General features: G+C 36.2%; 1 protein-coding gene across 36 annotated transcripts in view; it reads left to right on the forward strand.

Annotated features, from left to right (window-relative positions):
• CSPP1 (centrosome and spindle pole associated protein 1) overlaps positions 1 to 18,567 on the forward strand; it is a 132,247-nt gene that overhangs the window by 73,653 nt on the left and 40,027 nt on the right. For 25 of the 36 annotated variants that reach the window (XM_011517598.3, XM_047422253.1, XM_005251305.5 and 22 more), the window contains 2 exons: positions 11,763 to 11,915; positions 16,004 to 16,116. In XM_011517598.3, the coding sequence (XP_011515900.2) occupies positions 11,763 to 11,915; positions 16,004 to 16,116 (266 nt within the window). The remainder of the gene's footprint in view (positions 1 to 11,762; positions 11,916 to 16,003; positions 16,117 to 18,567) is intronic. The other 11 variants (XM_047422245.1, XM_047422257.1, XM_006716474.4 and 8 more) reach the window with 1 other exon arrangement.

An 18,567-nucleotide genomic window follows, 5' to 3' on the forward strand; every position in this document is an offset into this window, starting at 1 on the left:
TATCTATGCAATATACCTGCTAATTGCAAGAATTCCTTTGGGAAAAAGAAGACATGATCATAGAAACTTTCTAGCAAGTTTCATAATTTGTTGATTTATCTTTCAATTATGTACTCTCAAAAATGTTTGATCTAGTAATCACACAACAAATACTTCGAAAGAGTGGCTTTATACAACTTGTTATATACAGTTGTCTGTTGGTAACCATGGGACATTGGTTCCATGATCTCCTGTGAATACCCAAATCCATGGATGCTCAAGTTCCTGATATAAAATTGGTAAAGTGTTCGCATATAACCTACACACATCTTCCTGTATACTTTAAGTCATCTCTAGATTACTTGTAATACCTAATACAGTGAAAATGCTATGTAAATAGTTGTAATCTTGTATTAATTAGGGAACAATGACAAGAAAAAAAGACTTTTCACATGTTCAGTGCAGATGCAAGCATCCATTTTTTTTTGTTTTTTAATGTTTTTGAATTGTGGTTGATTGAATCCACAGATGTGGAACCCGCAGTTACAAAGGGCTGTTGTATATATTAGGATGGTCTTTGTTTAGCGTTTAGTTAAGCAGAATAAAAGTAGATCAAAGATACACACTTCATGTTCTTTAGGTGTTATGTATTGTAGGAATAGATGAGTGATAGAATCGGAAGATTGGATGTTGAGTTAGAATTCTCGTGTGTTGCAAAAATTTTCTCCCATTCTGTAGGTTGCCTGTTCACTCTGATGGTAGTTTCTTTTGCCATGCAGAAGCTCTTTAGTTTAATTAGATCCCATTTGTCAATTTTGGCTTTTGTTGCCATTGCTTTTGGTGTTTTAGACATGAAGTCCTTGCCCATGCCTATGTCCTGAATGGTATTGCCTAGGTTTTCTTCTAGGGTTTTTATGGTTTTAGATCTAACATTTAAGTCTTTAATCCATCTTGAATTAATTTTTGTTTAAGGTGTAAGGAAGGTATCCAGTTTCAGCTTTCTGCATATGGCTAGCCAGTTTTCCCAGCACCATTTATTAAATAGGGAATCCTTTCCCCATTTCTTATTTTTGTCAGGTTTGTCAAAGATCAGATAGTTGTAGATGTGCGGCATTACCAGAATCTACAATGAACTCAAACAAATTTAGAAGAAAAAAACAACCCCATCAAAAAGTAGGCAAAGGATATGAACAGACACTTCTCAAACGAAGACATTTATGCAACCAACAGACACATGAAAAAATGCTCATCATCACTGGCCATCAGAGAAATGCAAATCAAAACCACAATGAGATACCATCTCACACCAGTTAGAATGGCGATCATTAAAAAGTCAGGAAACAACAGGTGCTGGAGAGGATGTGGAGAAATAGGAACACTTTTACACTGTTGGTGGGACTGTAAACTAGTTCAACCATTGTGGAAGTCAGTGTGGCGATTCCTCAGGGATCTAGAACTAGAAATACCATTTGACCCAGCCATCCCATTACTGGGTATATACCCAAAGGATTATAAAACATGCTGCTATAAAGACACATGCACATGTATGTTTATTGCAGCACTGTTCACAATAGCAAAGACTTGGAACCAAGCCAAATGTCCAACAATGATAGACTGGATTAAGAAAATGTGGCACATATACACCATGGAATACTATGCAGCCATAAAAAAGGCTGAGTTCATGTCCTTTGCAGGGACATGGATGAAGCTGGAAACCATCATTCTCAGCAAACTATTGCAAGGACAAAAAACCAAACACCGCATGTTCTCACTCATAGGTGGGAATTGAACAATGAGAACACATGGACACAGGAAGGGGAACATCACACACCGGGGCCTGTTGTGGGGTGAGGGGAGCGGGGAGGGATAGCACTAGGAGAAATACCTAATGTTAAATGATGAGTTAATGGGTGCAGCACACCAACATGGCACATGTATACATATGCAACAAACCTGCACGTTGTGCACACGTACCCTAAAATTTAAAGTATAGTAATAAAAGAATTCTTATGTATTATGCCTTTGCTTGTTAAATATTGGTTTTTTTGAAGATATATTTGAGGCCCACTTTAATTTATTTTAATTTAATTAATTAATTTTTTCGAGACAGAGTTTCACTCTGTCACCCAGGCTGGAGTGCAATGGCACCATCTTGGCTCACTGCAACCTCTGCCTCCAGGTTCAAGCAATTCTCCTGCCTCAGCCTCCCAAGTAACTGGGATTTATAGGCATGCACCACCACACCCGGCTAATTTTTGTATTTTTATTAGAGACGGGGTTTCACCATGTTGGTCAGGCTGGTCTCAAACTCCTGACCTCAGGTGTCCCACCCACCTCAGCCTCCCAAAGTGCTGGGATTACAGGTGTGAGCCACTGTGCCCAGCCTACTTTAATTTTAATAGCTCTTTTTTTCTTCCCAAAAGATTTGTTCCTTTCCTATCTTCACCTCATGAATAATTTTCTCACAGTTTTGAAAGAGTGAAACTCTTATTACTTTCTTTATCAATGAAATGATTTTAGATGATGCCTAGCTAACATTTCTTATTTTAATAGGTAAGTGTTTACTTGAAAATATATTAGAAAAACACTAGTTTTCCATTTATGAATAGTGCTATAATATTTTCTTTTAAACTACAGGTATTAAAGTGAAGGCATTAGTCCAGGCATTTAATGGAAAGTGCTGTAATAATAAACAAACCCAAATTCTTAGAAGCTTAAGGCCTCTCTTGTTAGGCATCCACTTTTGTCCCACTCTGATGCTGCTGTTTGGGTGGTTCTCCTCCAAGAAGTGACTCAGGGATCCATTGTTTCATTCCTTCATTTTAGAGTCCTTTTCTTCTTGTCCAGGGACAAATTGAGGATTTTGTTGGGGCCTGGCCTGGATGTGGAGGAAGATCATTTTTGCCTTCATTCCATTGTTCAGACCTAGTTATAGGTTCTAACCTAACTGCTTGGGAGGCTGGGAAGTTTAACTTTCTTTATGCTCAGAAGAAGGACATGGGATTAATAGCCATATGGGCAATCTTTGCTACAGTAAATTTAAATTATAAATTGATAGAAGTTAACTAGTTACCATGAAAAATGTGCTTAACTGAGTGAAACATTGGAAAACATTGGGATAGAGCAGTTTTCTAAAATCTTACCTCTAAGATTATTTCTAGTTCAAACAATACAATTATTGTGTTCTGTATGCCTTTAATTGGTGGAAGTGAGTAGGATAAATTTGGGTTATTGAGTTATAAAACATTATTTTAGAATTGCTTGACCTAATGAGCATGGAGAAAATGTTTCCACATTATTTTAGAATTGCGTGACCTAATGAGCATGGAGAAAATGCTTCTTAGATTTCAATTTTTAATAGTAATGTTTAGTTGGCTTATTTAATGCCGTCTTCATGCCATGAAATAGAAAAGGCATACTATTTTATCAAATACAGTATAACTCTTTTAATGATATTTTCAAGCAAGTAAACTCATGACTTAAAGAGTATCAGTTTATTTTGTATGTGGATGCTACATTTTATCTTTATTTTTATTTTTTGAGATGGAGTTTCGCTCTTTTGCCCAGGCCGGAGTGCAATGATGCAATCTCAGTTCACTGCAACCTCTGCCTCCCGGGTTCAAGCAGTTCTCCTGCCTCAGCCTTCTGAGTAGCTGGGATTACAGGCATGTGCCACCACGCCCCCCTAATTTTGTGTATTTAGTAAAGATGGGGTTTCACCATGTTGGTGGTCTTGAACTCCTGACCTGAGGTGATCCATCCACCTCGGCCTCCCAAAGTGCTAGGATTACAGACATGAGCGACTGCACCCAGTGTAGCTACTACATTTTAGAGAAGGCGGGAACATTACATTTGAAATATGTAGTATAGAGCAGTGTGATGACTAAGACCACATAACGTCTGTTCATTATCTTGGCTAACTTTAATTCTGCTGCTGACTTTTCTAATTACTCCTGTTCTTTTTTTGATCTTTTATTCCAAAGAAATTAATAAAATTGAATCTTAACACTGCACCCTTATCTTACCTAAGAAGATCTCATTATAAGGCATAGTAGTTACTAATGAAATATAAAAATGTGTTATTCATGCAACTTTAAAGTATCACCCCTTTTAAAGTAAATATTTCTCATTTTAATTATTTGTACAGTATTTTATTCTGTTGTCTTTCTCAGTTCTTTATTTATTAAAGTTCTTTATTCAGGTTTTTATTTGAAACTTTACATGAAACTGTCCATGTCAAATGTTAAAACGTATACACCAAAAGAAAAATGTCAATAAAAATAAATTAAAAGATAAAATTAAAAACCACTTTGAAAAATGGTATCTCATAGTTCCAATTGATTAACAGGATGATTAGTTAGTCAGTTCTCTTACTTACTCGTCCACCCATGCCAATCTGTGATCTCGTTTCTGGCATGAAAATATTGCCTTTTTTCTGACATTTGTGTTTTAGCATAGTGTTTCTGAGATTCATCCATGTTGTTACATATGTCAGTAGCTTATTTTTTTTATTACTGAATAGTATTACATTTTCTGAAGGTATCACAGTTGTTTATCCATTTACCAGTTGATAGATATTTGGGCTGTTTACAGTTCAAGGCTATTATAAATAAAGCTGTTAGAAACATTCACTTACAGATCTTTGTGTGAACATAAATTTTTATTTCTTTTGGGTAAGTGCCTAGGAATAGAATTGCTGGGTTGAATAGTAAGTGTTTAACTTTGTAAGAAACTGCCAGAACATTCTCCAATTTTGTTTTGTCATTTTGCATTCCTATCAGAAAAGTATGAGGTTTCTAGTTGCTCTGAATTTTCATCAGCACTTGAAATTATGCATCTTTAAACTTTTAGTTATTTTATTGAAAGTGCAGTGATACCTCATTTAAAAAAAGCTTTTTCTATTGTGAAATTAAGACCTAAAAGAGTTGCAAAGATGGTGTAGAGAGTATCCTTCACCTTGTTTCCCCTGACGTTAACGTCTTAGATAATCATGGCACAATGATCAAAATTAGAAATTAACCTAGATACAGTGCCGATAATTAAGTTACATACCTTGTTCGAATTTTACCAGTTTTTTTTTTCTTTTCCTAATGTCCTTATTGTATTTTAGGCTCTGGTCCAGGATCCTATAATGCATTTAGTTCATGTCTCTTTAGTCTCCTCCAATCTGTGAAATTCCTCTTTCTCAGTCTTTCTGTCTCTCTCTGTTCCATTGCTCTATATTTCTATCCTTTTGCCCGTATCAGAGTCTCTTGATTACTATAGCTTTGTAGTAAGTTTTGAAATTGAAAAGTTTGAGTCCTCCAGCTTTGTTCTTTTTTTTCAAGATCTTTTGACAACTCAACTTCTTCGCATATTTTACTATCACTATAGTAATGTAGTAATATTATTATTTAGTAATAAGTTATAGTAAGTAAATAATGTTATAGTAAGTAATTATTACTATTACTATTACTTTGTCATGTCAAGCATGGTGGCATTTTCATTGGGATTCCATTAACTTTATAGATAATATTGAAACAGCCAGCATCTTAATAATATTGAGCCTCTTGATCCATGAGTGGGCAGTGTATATCCATTTATTGCTTCTAGTTAATTTCTCTCAGCAATATTTTGTAGTTTTTGGTGGCAGATCTTGTGTATATTTTGTTAATTGTTTCCCTAAATATTTCATGTGGTTTGAAGCTATTTTAAAATGTTACATTAAAAAATTTTTAATTCATTTGTTCATTGATGGTCTATAGAAATACAGGTAAATTTTTTATATTGTCTGTAGTCTGTGTGCTTGCTACTGTCTGTAGTCTGTGTGGTTGCTAAACTCACTTGTTAGTTTTAGTAGTTTTTTTGTAGATTCTTTGATTTTTAATGTAGGCAATCATAGCATCTGTCAGTAGAGTTAGTTTTACTTATTTCTTTCCAATCTGATGCCTTCTATTTATTTTAATTGCCTTTTACACTGTTTAAGAACTCCAGTACAGTGTTAAGAATTCATGAGCGCAGACATCCTTGTCTTGTCTCTGATTTCAGATGGAAAGCAATCTTTCACCATTAAGTTAGCTGTAGGCTTTTAGTTGATTTTTCTTTTATCCCATTGAGGATGTTCTATTCCTTGTTTGCTTAGAGGTTTCATTGTGAGTGTATGTTGAATTTTGTCAGGTGCTTTTCTGCATCTATTGAGATGATAATGTGGTTTCTTTACCCTTCTGACCTATGGTAAATTACATTGATTGATTTTTGAATATTCAGCCAATCTTGCATTCCTGGGAAAAACCAAGCTGTATTATTGTCTTTTATACGTGTTGTAGAATTTGATTTGCTAGTATTTTGTTAGAGATTTTTGCATCTAGGCTCATAAGATATTCTGGTTTTTTATTTCTTTATAATGTTGTCTGGTTTTGGTGTCAGGGTAATTCTGGCCTGATAACATGAATTGGGAAATGTTTTTTCTTTTGTTTTTTGAGACAGAGTCTTGCTCTGTCGCAGAAGCTGGAGTACAGTGACATAATCACGGCTCACTGTAGCCTCGACCTCCTAGGCCGAAGCAATTCTGCCACCTCAACTTTCTGAGTAGCTGGGACTACAGTCATGTACCACCATACCTGGCTAATTTTTTTTATTTTTTGTAGAAACAGGGTCTCACTATGTTTATGTTGCCTAGGCTGGTCTCGAACTCCTGAGCTCAAGTGATCCTCCCACCTTGGCCTCCCAAAGTGCTGGGAATACATAGGTGTGAGCCACATCGCCTAGCTGGGAAATGTTTTTTCTGTGTTTAGAATTCACCAGTGAAGGCTGGGTGTGGCGGCTCACGCCTGTAATCCCAGCACATTGGGAGGCTGAGGCAGGTGGATCACAAGGTCAAGAGATCGAGACCATTTTAGCCAACATGGTGAAACCCTATCTCTACTAAAAAAAAAAAAAAAAAATTAGCTGTGTGTGGTGGTGTGCTCCTGTGGTCCCAGCTACTCAGGAAGCTGAGACAGGAGAATCATTTGAACCCAGGAGGTGGAGGTTGCAGTGAGCCAAGATTGCGTCACTGCCAGAGCGGGACTCCATCTCAAAAAAAAAAAAAAAAAGCATTCACCAGTGAAGCCATCTGGGTGGGGAATCTTCTTTTTGGGAAAGTTTTAAACTATGACTTCACTTTATTTAATAGATAAAGAGACATTCAGTTTATTTCTTATGTGAGCTTTGGTTATTTGAATCATTCAAGGAAATTATTCATTTTATTTATTTATTTATTGGCATAATGTTGTTCATAATATTTCTTTTTTATTCTAATGTTTGTAGGATCTGTGGTGATGGCTTCTCATTCATTCCTGATATTTGTAATTTGTATATTTTCTTAATCTGTCTGGCTGGATGTTTATCAACTTTATGGATCTTTTCATAGAATCAGCTTTAGTTTTCATTGATTTTTTTTCTCTGCTTTTCTTCTTGTTTCAGTGATTTTGCTCTTATCTTTACTATTTGCTTCCTTTAGTTTGCTTTGTGCTTACTTTTCTCCCTTTTCTAATTTCTTTCTTTTTTTTTTGTTTTTGTTTTGAGACAGAGTCTCTCTGTGTCGCCCAGGTTGGAGTGCAGTGGCACAATCTCGGCTCACTGCAACCTCCGCCTCCCGGGTTCAAGTGATTCTCCTGCCTCAGCCTTCCAAGTATCTGGGACTGACTACAGGCACACACCACCACACCTGGCTAATTTTTGTATTTTTAGTAGAGACGGGGTTTCACCATACTGGCCAGGCTGGTCTCGAACTCCTGAGGTGATCTGCCCACCTCAGCCTCCGAAAGTGCTGGGATTACAGGCATGAGCCACCGTGCCCAGCCCCCTTTTCTAATTTTTTAATGTCGATGCTTAGACTATGATTTGAGACCTTACTTATTTTCTGTGCATTTAAGTGTGCTACACATTTCCCTCTGAGTACTGTTTTAGCTGTACATCACAAATTTTTATGTGTTGTTTTAATTTTCATTCAGTTTTCTGATTTTCATTGTGACTTTTCTTTGACCCCCATTAGTTATTTGGAAGTGGACTTAAAAATTTTCCAAGTATCAGGGGATTTTCCTGAGAGCTTTCTTTTATTCAATTCTAGTTTGTATTCTGTTTTGTAAGAGAATATACTTTTCTTTTTTTTTTTTTTTTTTGAGACAAGGTCTCACTCTGTCACCCAGGCTGTAATGCAATGGCACGGTCATGCCTCACTGCAGTCTCAACCTCCCTGGCTAAAGTGATCTTCCCGCCTCAGCTCCCCCAAGTAGCAAGGACTACAGACACATGCTACCATGCCCAGCTAATTACAAAATTTTTTTTAGAGACAGGGTCTCACTTTTTTGCCCAGCTGGTCTCAAACTCCTGGCCTCAAATGATCCTCCCACCTCAGCCTCCCGAAGTGTTGAGATTACAGGCATGAGCCACTGCGCCCAGCTGGAGAGAATATACTTTTAATGACTTCAGTGTTTTTAAGTTTGTGAGATTTGTTTTATGAGCCATCAGTTAGAATTTTACTCTATAAGTAAGTGTATATATTTTAAATTAGGTTAATTTTGATATATGTATTGTTAGTAGTGCTAGGGTTGGGAATTTTGCTTAGCTCTCTGAATTAGGTCATTATAAAAGAGTTTCTGTGTCAGCCATGAATTGCTGAATAATCCTGGGTTTATAGTAACATTTAACATATCTCAGCCCTTCACAAAATATATTTTGATATGTATTTTCCACCAAAGTATAAAGAGTAGCAGCTAACTTGTGAAGTTAATTAAAATTAATTTTTTTATAATGAGCTAATTCACTCAGTGAGGAGCACGTAAGTGCTCCTAATTTTATATTGAATGTTATGATGATTTACATTTAAAATAAAGTCCTATCTTTGCAGTTGACAAATTACACTCTTGACCAAAGTGCCTTTTTTAATTTTCGTTTTTTAGCTGATTTCAAATCATTTATTTTACCATCTCACAGAAAGACAGAAAAGGAGTGGCCAGTTGCCAAATCATTTTTCCCAATAAAAAGCAATATGGATTTGGTTTGCTTGCTAAATCTGATAGTCTTAAATCTTAATAATTATGTACTCTGATGAAATTAATTTTCTCTTAATATAAATATGTTGAATATTATTCCAGTTGAGAAGTCCATATATAATCAACAATAAATTATAATGTGTTATCGAAGTTTGCTTACATATAGGGTATCTCCTAATGTATGGTTTGTGCAGGTGACTATCAAACTAAGATTGCATTCCCTAAGCACTCACTAGTTTGGCAACACAGCTGTAGATTATTTCAAGAATATCTATCTGCCTTGCCAGTCCTTGGCACTTGGGAATTTTCTTGCAGTCACCTTTTTCTGTGGTTTCACCCAGTCCCTTCTCTTTGCATTTTTTCTATTTATTTCTTCTTTCTACCTCTGAACATGCTTAGGTCACTTGTATTAAAACACAGACAAATGCTTCCTTTACCATATAAAACACATTCAAAAAGTAGTCCATGCTTGTTGCTGTCACTTCTTACCACCCTCTTATTGGCTATTTTTCCATAGTATAACATCTAGCTTGTACCCCCGCGCCCCACCACCCCATGCCACATTGTCAACAAAAAGCCTGATGACCTAATTTCAATTTAATGATTTTTACTCATCTTTTATCTTCTTTGAACTGGCTTGACAGTTCCTTTTTTTCTCTAAGTCCTTTGTATCCTCCGAGATGCTGTCCAGACTTCAGCTAATATTTTTTGGATGTGCATTATGAACTAGAGTTAGACTCTGCTAGGTTTGTGAGCATGATCTTTCTTCTAAGGACTGTCATCTGACCTTGTGTGTTTCTCATCCCTTCATCCATTCTCTTCCATGTCATCTCTTTTACTCCTGTGTTACTCTTTAGGTCTTCCCTACAGATTGATCTTTAAATCTTTTTCTTTGCCCTCAACCATTTTTATTTTTATTTTTTTTGAGACAGTCTCACTCTGTCACCCAGCCTGAAGTGCAGTGGTGTAATTTTGACTCACTGCAACCTGCACCCCCCCGGCTTAAGTGATCCTCCCACCTCAGCCCCCCAAGTAGCTGGGACTACAGGTACATGCCATCATGCCCAGCTAATTTTTGTATTTTCAGTAGAAATGGGATTTCACCATGTTGCCCAGGATGGTCTTAAACTCCTGAGCTCAAGTAATCCACCCTCTTTGGCCTCCCAAAGTGCTGGGATTATAGGTGTGAGCCACCACGCCCGGCCAGACTAATATATTAATCCCACTTCTGTAACAACCACAACTGCCTCCATTACCTTCTACAGAACAAAATTGAGAGCCATTGACATGTGTTTTAGGATATTGAAGAATAGGTATCCATTCTATGGTTTCCAGTCTTATTTGCCATTGCTCTATTACATGTGCTTTATGCTCTAGTCTAGCTGGACTACTTTAATGTTGCCAGAACACTCATCATGCTTTACCCACTTGGAGTGCTTTCTCACATTGTTCTATTTCTCTATTATGCTTTCCTACTTATCTTCATCTGTGAAGCTCCTATACATTTTCCAAGTCCAAGCTGCCCTAAATATTGTAACAGAATGTGAACCTTCCTGATTCTGAACTCCCATTCTCTTTTGTAGCATTTATGTATTACTTGCCATGTTCTATCTGGAATTCTAATTGTGATTCATGTTCAAAATACATTCTTGAACATAACAGGCTTCCTGATAAATACTTCTTATATCCAGGTTTAAGTTCACTTTCAGTGCTGCCATACTGTTGCAGTTTTTTGGTTTGTTTGTTTTATGGAAAACAGGTACTTTTTATTTTATTAAAGCTTTAAGTTCTGTAATCATTCAGTTCTGTTTTTGAGATTGGTTGTTTGACCCAATTCTAGGTGCTCAGATTTTTGCTGTGTGTATTAGATATCTATTCTATGTAATGAATTAACCCAAAACTTGGTGTTTTAGCATGATAAACAGTTATTATCTTGCGGTTCTGAGGGTTAGAAATTTGTGAGTGGTTTAGTTGGGTGGTTCTGTCTCAGGCTCCCTCATAATGTTGGAGTCCAAGATGTTGACCATGGCAGTAGTCATCTGAGGCTTGATGGGGACTGTAAGATTCATTTTCAATATGGCTCCCTCACATGGCTCAGGAGGCCTTAGTTCCTTGTCATATGGGCCTCTCCATAGGGCTCCCTTAGTGTCCTTATGGTATGGCAGTTGGCTTTCTTCAGAGTGAATGATCCATAGATAAGCAAGGTGGAAATAATTTCTTTTATGAGGTAGCCTCAGAAGTCATATACCATTATTTCTGCAATATGCTAGTCATAAGAAGTGAGTTATTAACTCTGGACACCACTGAAGGGGAATGGAATTTAGCTTTACCCTTTGAGGGAGGATTGCCAAGTAATTTGTGAATATATTTTAAAACTCCACTCCACATAATTATGTGTTATTAGGAGACCGATGACAGGTAAATTACACTATGAGTTGTTTTAAATTGTTGCTATATTTTTTCTATATTAAAGAAATTCTAAGTTCTGAAGTAACATAGATACTGTTAATATGGTTTTTATGTTTTGTTAAAGATTTATGTGTCCTTAATTTATCTACTAATTGAGATTATTTTTAAGGATTATTTTTTGAAAATCTTAAAAGTTTTGATAATTTTGTTTCTCTTTTCAGGGCACCAACATATCATTGAATTATTCCCAACTTTGTCCTATTGTTTTTCTTTCTGACTTCCTATTTTAAGAAAATATATTTTGCATGCCAATTACAGAAATGTGTTTATTGAAATAAATGGCTTATTTTTTCCTCTCAGCTGATTTGAATAGGATGCACAGACAAAATATAGATGCCTACCATAACCCAGATGCAAGAACATATGAAGATAAAAGGGCTGTTGTATCTCTAGACCCAAATTTAGCCACTTCAAATGCTGAGAACCTAGAAGATGCTGCAAATAAAAGCTCAGGTTTTTAATCACTTTTTTTTTTTTTTTTTTTTTTTTACATTTCTGAAATTGTTCAGTAACATTTCTGTTCTGTGACTAAGTTCTTATTGGGATCTTGAGAATTTGGCTATCCTGATACAGGAAACATAACACACTATTCATAAAGTGCCTTTTCTTCATAGTTACTTTGAAAAAAGGTGAATAGGGAAAGGTTACTTCTTCCTACTGTGTTTCTTCTCAGCTTTGTAACTTGCTGTGTATCCTTTAGCTGCTGCTAACATTTTTATTTTGCTAGTGGGGGACATTTCTTAATATCAAACACTCTTTTTACACACATACACAATTTGCATCTTATATCCATAGCTGTTTGAATTAGTGAAACAGTATCATTGTGATATGATAAATTGTACAGGGAAATTCATTTTTTACTTGTTTTAGTAATCATTTACCCTCCCTTGTAAAACAACAGTGTACAAAGAAATGAAGCAATGTTGTTTTTTTTTTTGTGAGATGGAGTCTCACTTTGTTATCCCAGGCTGGAGTGCAGTGGCATAATCTCAGCTCACTGCAACCTCCACCTCCTGGGTTCAAGCAGTTCTCTACCTCAGCCTCCCAAGTAGCTGGAATCACAGGTACCCACCACCACACCTGGCTAATTTTTGTATTTTTAGTAGGTATGGGGTTTCACCATTTAGCCAGGCTGGTCTCGAACTTCTGACCTTGTGATCCATCCGCCTCCACCTCCCAAAGTGCCGGGATTACAGGCGTGAGCCATCGCCTGGTTACATGCCTCTTAACTACTTATCTTTGATTTACTATTAATATCCTTTAATCAATTCTGAAAGATGAAAATTATTCAATTATCTTTTTTTGACATACCAGGAAAAGTTGTCAGGTATGTTAAATTGTGTTATATATTTAAAAATAAAATTTAATACAGCACCTCACACTATATTTTGATGCCTATAAAACTGGCCATTTATTCATTACAAAATTCTACTTTGTGCTTTCACAGAAGTTTTGATTTTAGATTAGAAAAGAACTTTTCATTAGGAAGTTCTAAAATATTTGTGACTGATCATGTAGTCTTTTTTGTTTTTAACCCTTATTTTTGGCTAAACAGATAAGTGAAGTGGGGAGCTGTGATTAGAGTCATAGCCCTGCATCTTTCAAGGCTTTGATGGTAGCACACTTATCTGTAGCCTTTTTGAACAGTTTAAGAGATGGATTATTTACCGTTTTCATGGGCAGCTTGTACCAGTGTTTTCTAATTATGAGAAAATGCTTTCTTTGTTCTACAATATATTTTATCGGATCCAGTTTTGATTTTTAGAGCACTAAAATTGGAACCTTTGATTTTGACAATATTATTGATTTGGCTCTTTTAATTTGTAATAGTGTGTGGTAAGAACATCACAACACCTTTTCATATTATTGCTGCTAAGAGAATTTTGACTTATTTCTGATATTTTTCTCATTTGCTGCTGCTTCTAGTAGTCTGTATTGAGATCTCATTGCCATACAGAGTCTTTCTCTACCCTTTTCTTCCATACCTGGTATTGTTTGTAGTTCTGGCTCAGCCTAGAACTTTCGCTATCTTAGTAATAACACTTTTTAGCCATCTAGCTTTGCACACCAAGCAAAAACACCAGAAAATCAACAGTTCCCATGATCCCTTCCCAAAAGCATAAGCCTGATGATTAAACATGCACAGCAAAATTTGTTGCCTATAGCCTTTCTGTACCACTGCCAGGTTTTTATGCTGATATTGTTGCCAAGATGTTCTGTTTTAAGAATTGAGTAAAAAAAAAACCATAAAATGTTTAAAACTTCCTTTTTTTTGTGAATTGAAATTCCCAAATTAGACTTTTCTTCCCTAAGAATGAATTAATTGGCTGGGTGCAGTGGCTCACGCCTGTAATCCCAGCACTTTGGGAGGCTGAGGCAGGCGGATCATGAGGCCAGGAGATCGAGACCATCCTGGCCTACATGGTGAAACCCCGTCTCTACTAAAAATACAAAAATTAGCTGGGCGTGGTGGCATGTGCCTGTAGTCCCAGCTACTTGGGAGGCTGAGGCAGGAGAATTGCTTGAACCCGGGAATAGGAGGTTGCAGTGAGCTGAGATCACGCCACTGCACTCCAGCCTGGTGACAGAGTGAGACTCCATCTCAAAAAAAAAAAAAAAAAAAAGAATTAATTAATCTAAAATAAACTTTCTCAATACAAGAAATGATTCAAAGCCACCTAATTTTGTGCTATGCCATATATATGTGTATGAGTGCATGTATGTGTATGTATGTACACACAGACACACATATCTTTGCATATATGTAGCATTTGATATTTTAAAAGCCTGAAGGAACTTGAATATAGCTGAAAATTGAATGTTACAACATGTGTTTAAGTTTCCTTATCCTCTAATATTTTATCTTCATTAGGTTTGTTTCTGATGCCCTTTATAATGTTCATTATTTTTTCTTTTATTTTATGGTTTTTAGATGAGCTATGGCTTATGAAGTCTAATACGAATTTGGCTTAAATTTATTTTTTTGGCTTATTATCATGCCAAGATACATTTCTGCTTTCTTTGTATATAGCAAGTGTTTCCCTATGATTTTCCTTTTATAGTTTATTCATTTCTAAAAGGACTTCTCTTGTCTGTCTCTAATAATATTTCTTCTCTAATTGCCCCAAAGGTTTAGAATAGGAGTGAGCATCACGGTGAAACATGCTACTCAAGTTTGTTTTGCTAATCAGCTTTTCCACCACAGCATAAAATTTAAAAGAGCCTTCAAGGTGTATATTTAGTTTGTTTTCAGTGGGAAAATTTTCTAGAGGGAAAAAGTATTCATAATGTTTAAGTATTGATTTGGCTTTCTGCCAGTCTGTTCAAATAAGCATTAATAAATTTAAATACAAAAGCAAAATAGACCTGAGTGGTAGCTGAACTGCAAAGCAATTTGCCTATACAAAACTACATGCGAGAAATACATGCTTTAGGCTGGGCACGCTGGCTCACGCCTGTAATCCCAGCACTTTTGGAGGCCGAGGCGGGCGGATCATCTGAGGTCAGGAGTTAGAGACCAGCCTGGCCAATGTGACGAAATCCCGTCTCAACTAAAAATACAAAAAAAAATTAGCCAGGCATGGTGGCACACGCCTGTAGTCCCAGCTACTTGGGAGGCTGAAGCAGGAGAATAGCTTGAACCTGGGAGGCAGAGGTTGCAGTGAGCCGAGATCATGCCACTGCACTCCAGCCTGGGTGACAGAGCAAGACTCTGTCTCAAAAAACAAAAAAAGAAATACATGCTTTAGTTTAATGGTATAAAGAATGAGTCAGAAACTCAAAAATAATATAAAAAGTTATGTGAGGCTTAAATTTAAATGTCATTTTTTCCCATCTGCATTCAAAGAGACTCTAAGGGTATAATTGTTTTTCGAATTGCTTTTATGAAATAATTTTTTCCATTCCAAGAATATATGATACTATTTATAGGTAATATATACTAAAAAATTTTTGTTCATGTTTATATCTCATTAAGTTGAGAGTTTTAAAAATAAAAACGATTACAATAATTAAGATGCATTCTAATTTGTTAAATATGTTTTTCAAAGCTGACTTTCTATTCTGTCATTTAAACTATTGGGAAGCATTTTGAAATTACTGATTTTTAAAAACGGTTTTAGAAAATTTTAAATATATGTTACATAATACATTTTAATATGTTATTAAGCAATATTCTTAAGTAAAGGATATTCACATACTGAAGAATGTAAATATGTCCTTTTTTTCTTTATAAATTCTATTTTAAAGCCTTTGTTGCAATGAGGGTTGTTTAAGCTGTTAGCTTTTATGTTTCCTTTGTATCTTTCAGATATTATTTGATTTTTTTAACTGTTAATTTTATTTTAGTATTACCATTTTTCTTTCTCTTACTACTGTTCATCTGATCTTCAGATTCTAATCTCAACCTTCCCCTTCTGATTTTAATCTTTGGACTTTTTTTTTTTTTAAAAATGAATTTATTAGCAAACTGTTCATTCTTTAACTGTTAAATTTTCTAAGCATTGGCTAATAGTATGTTTTTGCAAAATATTTCTTTCAAGGTCATATGCAAACACAGAGCTCTCCTTTTGCTCGGGGAAATGTATTTGGTGAGCCTCCAACTGAACTTCAGATTAAACAGCAAGAATTATACAAGAATTTTCTTCGTTTCCAGGTGAAATGCTATTTGATCAGTTTCAAAGTTTCATGAGATTTTAATAAACAAAACTTGCAAAGATTTTCTCCAGGATAAATACTAAATTCTAAAATGCCATACTGTTATCTAAAATATCTAATTTATATCAGATCAGATATCAGTAGTACAAAAGTTATTTCATTTCAAGGAAATAAACAGATGTATTAAGTATAGTAGTTGACTTAATCTTTTATTTTATTAAATAATTAATTTTTTTTATTTTTTTGAGACGGAGTCTTGCTCTGTCTACCCAGGCTAGGGTGTAGTGGTGAGATCTTCGCTCACTGCAACCTCCGCCTCCTGGCTTTAAGTGATTCTCCTGCCTCAGCCTCCTGAGTAGCTGGGACTACAGGTGCCTGCCACCACGCCCGGCTAATTTTTTGTATTTTTAGTGGAGACAGGGTTTCACCGTATTAGCCAGGATGGTCTTGATCTCCTGACCTCGTGATCTGCCTACCTTGGCCTCTCAAAGTGCTGGGATTACAGGCGTGAGCCGCCACACCTGACCAATTTTTGTATTTTTAATAGAGACGGGATGTCACCATCTTGGCCAGGCTGGTCTCGAACTACTGACCTCAAGTGATCTGCCTGCTTTGGTCCCCCGAAGTGCTGGGATTACAGGTGTAAGCCACCACGCCCAGCCTAAGTCATTAATTTTAAATCAAAGAATGCTGAGATTTTAAAAACTGATTTACTAATATATTCATCTATTAGGCAGAGAATGCATCTTTCTAGATATTTGTAAGTTATTAGAAAATCAATAGATTTTTTCCAAATGATTTGATATTATTACAGATTGTAAATAAATAAAAATTAGATTTAAGATAATCACAGTTTACAATTATTTGCCCCATTTATGTACATAAGTAAATGGCATTTAACATAGTAGAACTGCCCAGACTATTCGCAAAGGAAGACACTTGAACATCCAGTGTTTATGAAGCAAACAGACTTACTCCCATACTGGGGGTACCCTGGGCTGAGTCCTAGGGATGGAGCCTGAGATGAATGTGAGATACTTGCTCATGAGGGACTCACAGTTTCTTCTTTCCCTACCTCCCTCCCCTTCACACTCACACTTAGATACCAGTGTCAGATTAATCTTATGGCCTGGTTAATCCTCCTTTGATATGACTTTTCACCTGCTATTCTTCTTTACTCAAAATCTGGTGGTAGCTTTTCTTTGCCTACAGAAATTATCTCAACTCTTGAACCTAACATTTAAGGTTTTATAATCTAATTCCAAACTCTTAAATAGATGCCCTCAAACATATCTTCTTTTTAATCCTAATTATTCTTGACTCTTAAATAAGGCAGTGACGTAATGGATATAGCCTTTAAGGATGATTGATATTAGGCTGGGTGTGGTGGCTCACACCTCTAATGCCAGCACTTTGGGAGGCCAAGGTGGGCAGATCTCTTGAGCACAGGAGTTTGAGACTAGCCTGGGCAACATGATGAAACCCCATTTCTACAAAAAATTAGCCAGGCATTGTAGTGTGTGCCTGTCACCCCAGCTACTCGGGAGGCTGAGGTGGGAGGATTGCTTGAGCCCAGGAGGCAAAGGTTGCAGTGAGCCAAGATATGCCACTTTATTCTTGCCTGGGTGACAGAGTGAAAAAAGGATGATTGATGTGACATCACTGTTTAAGATACAATAATAGAGGATTAAAAAGAGTGGAAGCAGGGATATTTTACTAGTGTGGGTGACAGTGGAAATGGGTGGAAAGTGCTTTTTAAGGTTCAGCAGAAACAATATAGATATTAAATGTGAGAAACTGGTATCAGAGGTCCCAATATTGTGCACTCAAGTCAGGTAGCAGCAAGTTGAGGGTTCAGAGTCCCTGTTGAACGTAAAGGACCGTGTGGTATATTGACCATGACAGCAGGTCATAATTTAAGTACCTCCTCTAATGCTTAGCAGTTCTTATCATGGTCTAAGGTAGAATTCAGCCAAAAAACAATCTTACAATTGTATAGACTTTTATTGTTTTTGAGATACTTTTACATATAGTGTCTCATCAAACCTCAGATTTCTCTGAGAGAGGTTTTATTATCTCTGTTTAATAACATACAACTAATACACAGACTAACAGGCTTGCCCAGGGTGTCACAGCTAGCAAATTGTGAGGCCATTGCTTGAACCCAAGTCTCCAGACTTCAAGTGTAATATCTATGGATATCAGACTTCTATTTATAGGATTCACTAGGAAGTCTTTACCTCTAGAAAAAGTATGGTAATGGGGGAAGCTTTAACTATTTTAGTTTCAACCTTCAGTTCTTCCACCCTGTCAACCCTCAATTTATCTGTGAATGGATTGCTTTCAGATGATGATTTTTTAATTTTTCTTTCAGCAGCCTCTTCAAAATCTCTTCTCCCACCTCAAACAAAACCTAATATGTAATTCTAAGAAAATGTAAAATAGATCA

The sequence above is a fragment of the Homo sapiens genome, chromosome 8, assembly GCF_000001405.40.
Source record: "Homo sapiens chromosome 8, GRCh38.p14 Primary Assembly".
NCBI classification, from domain to species: domain Eukaryota; kingdom Metazoa; phylum Chordata; class Mammalia; order Primates; family Hominidae; genus Homo; species Homo sapiens.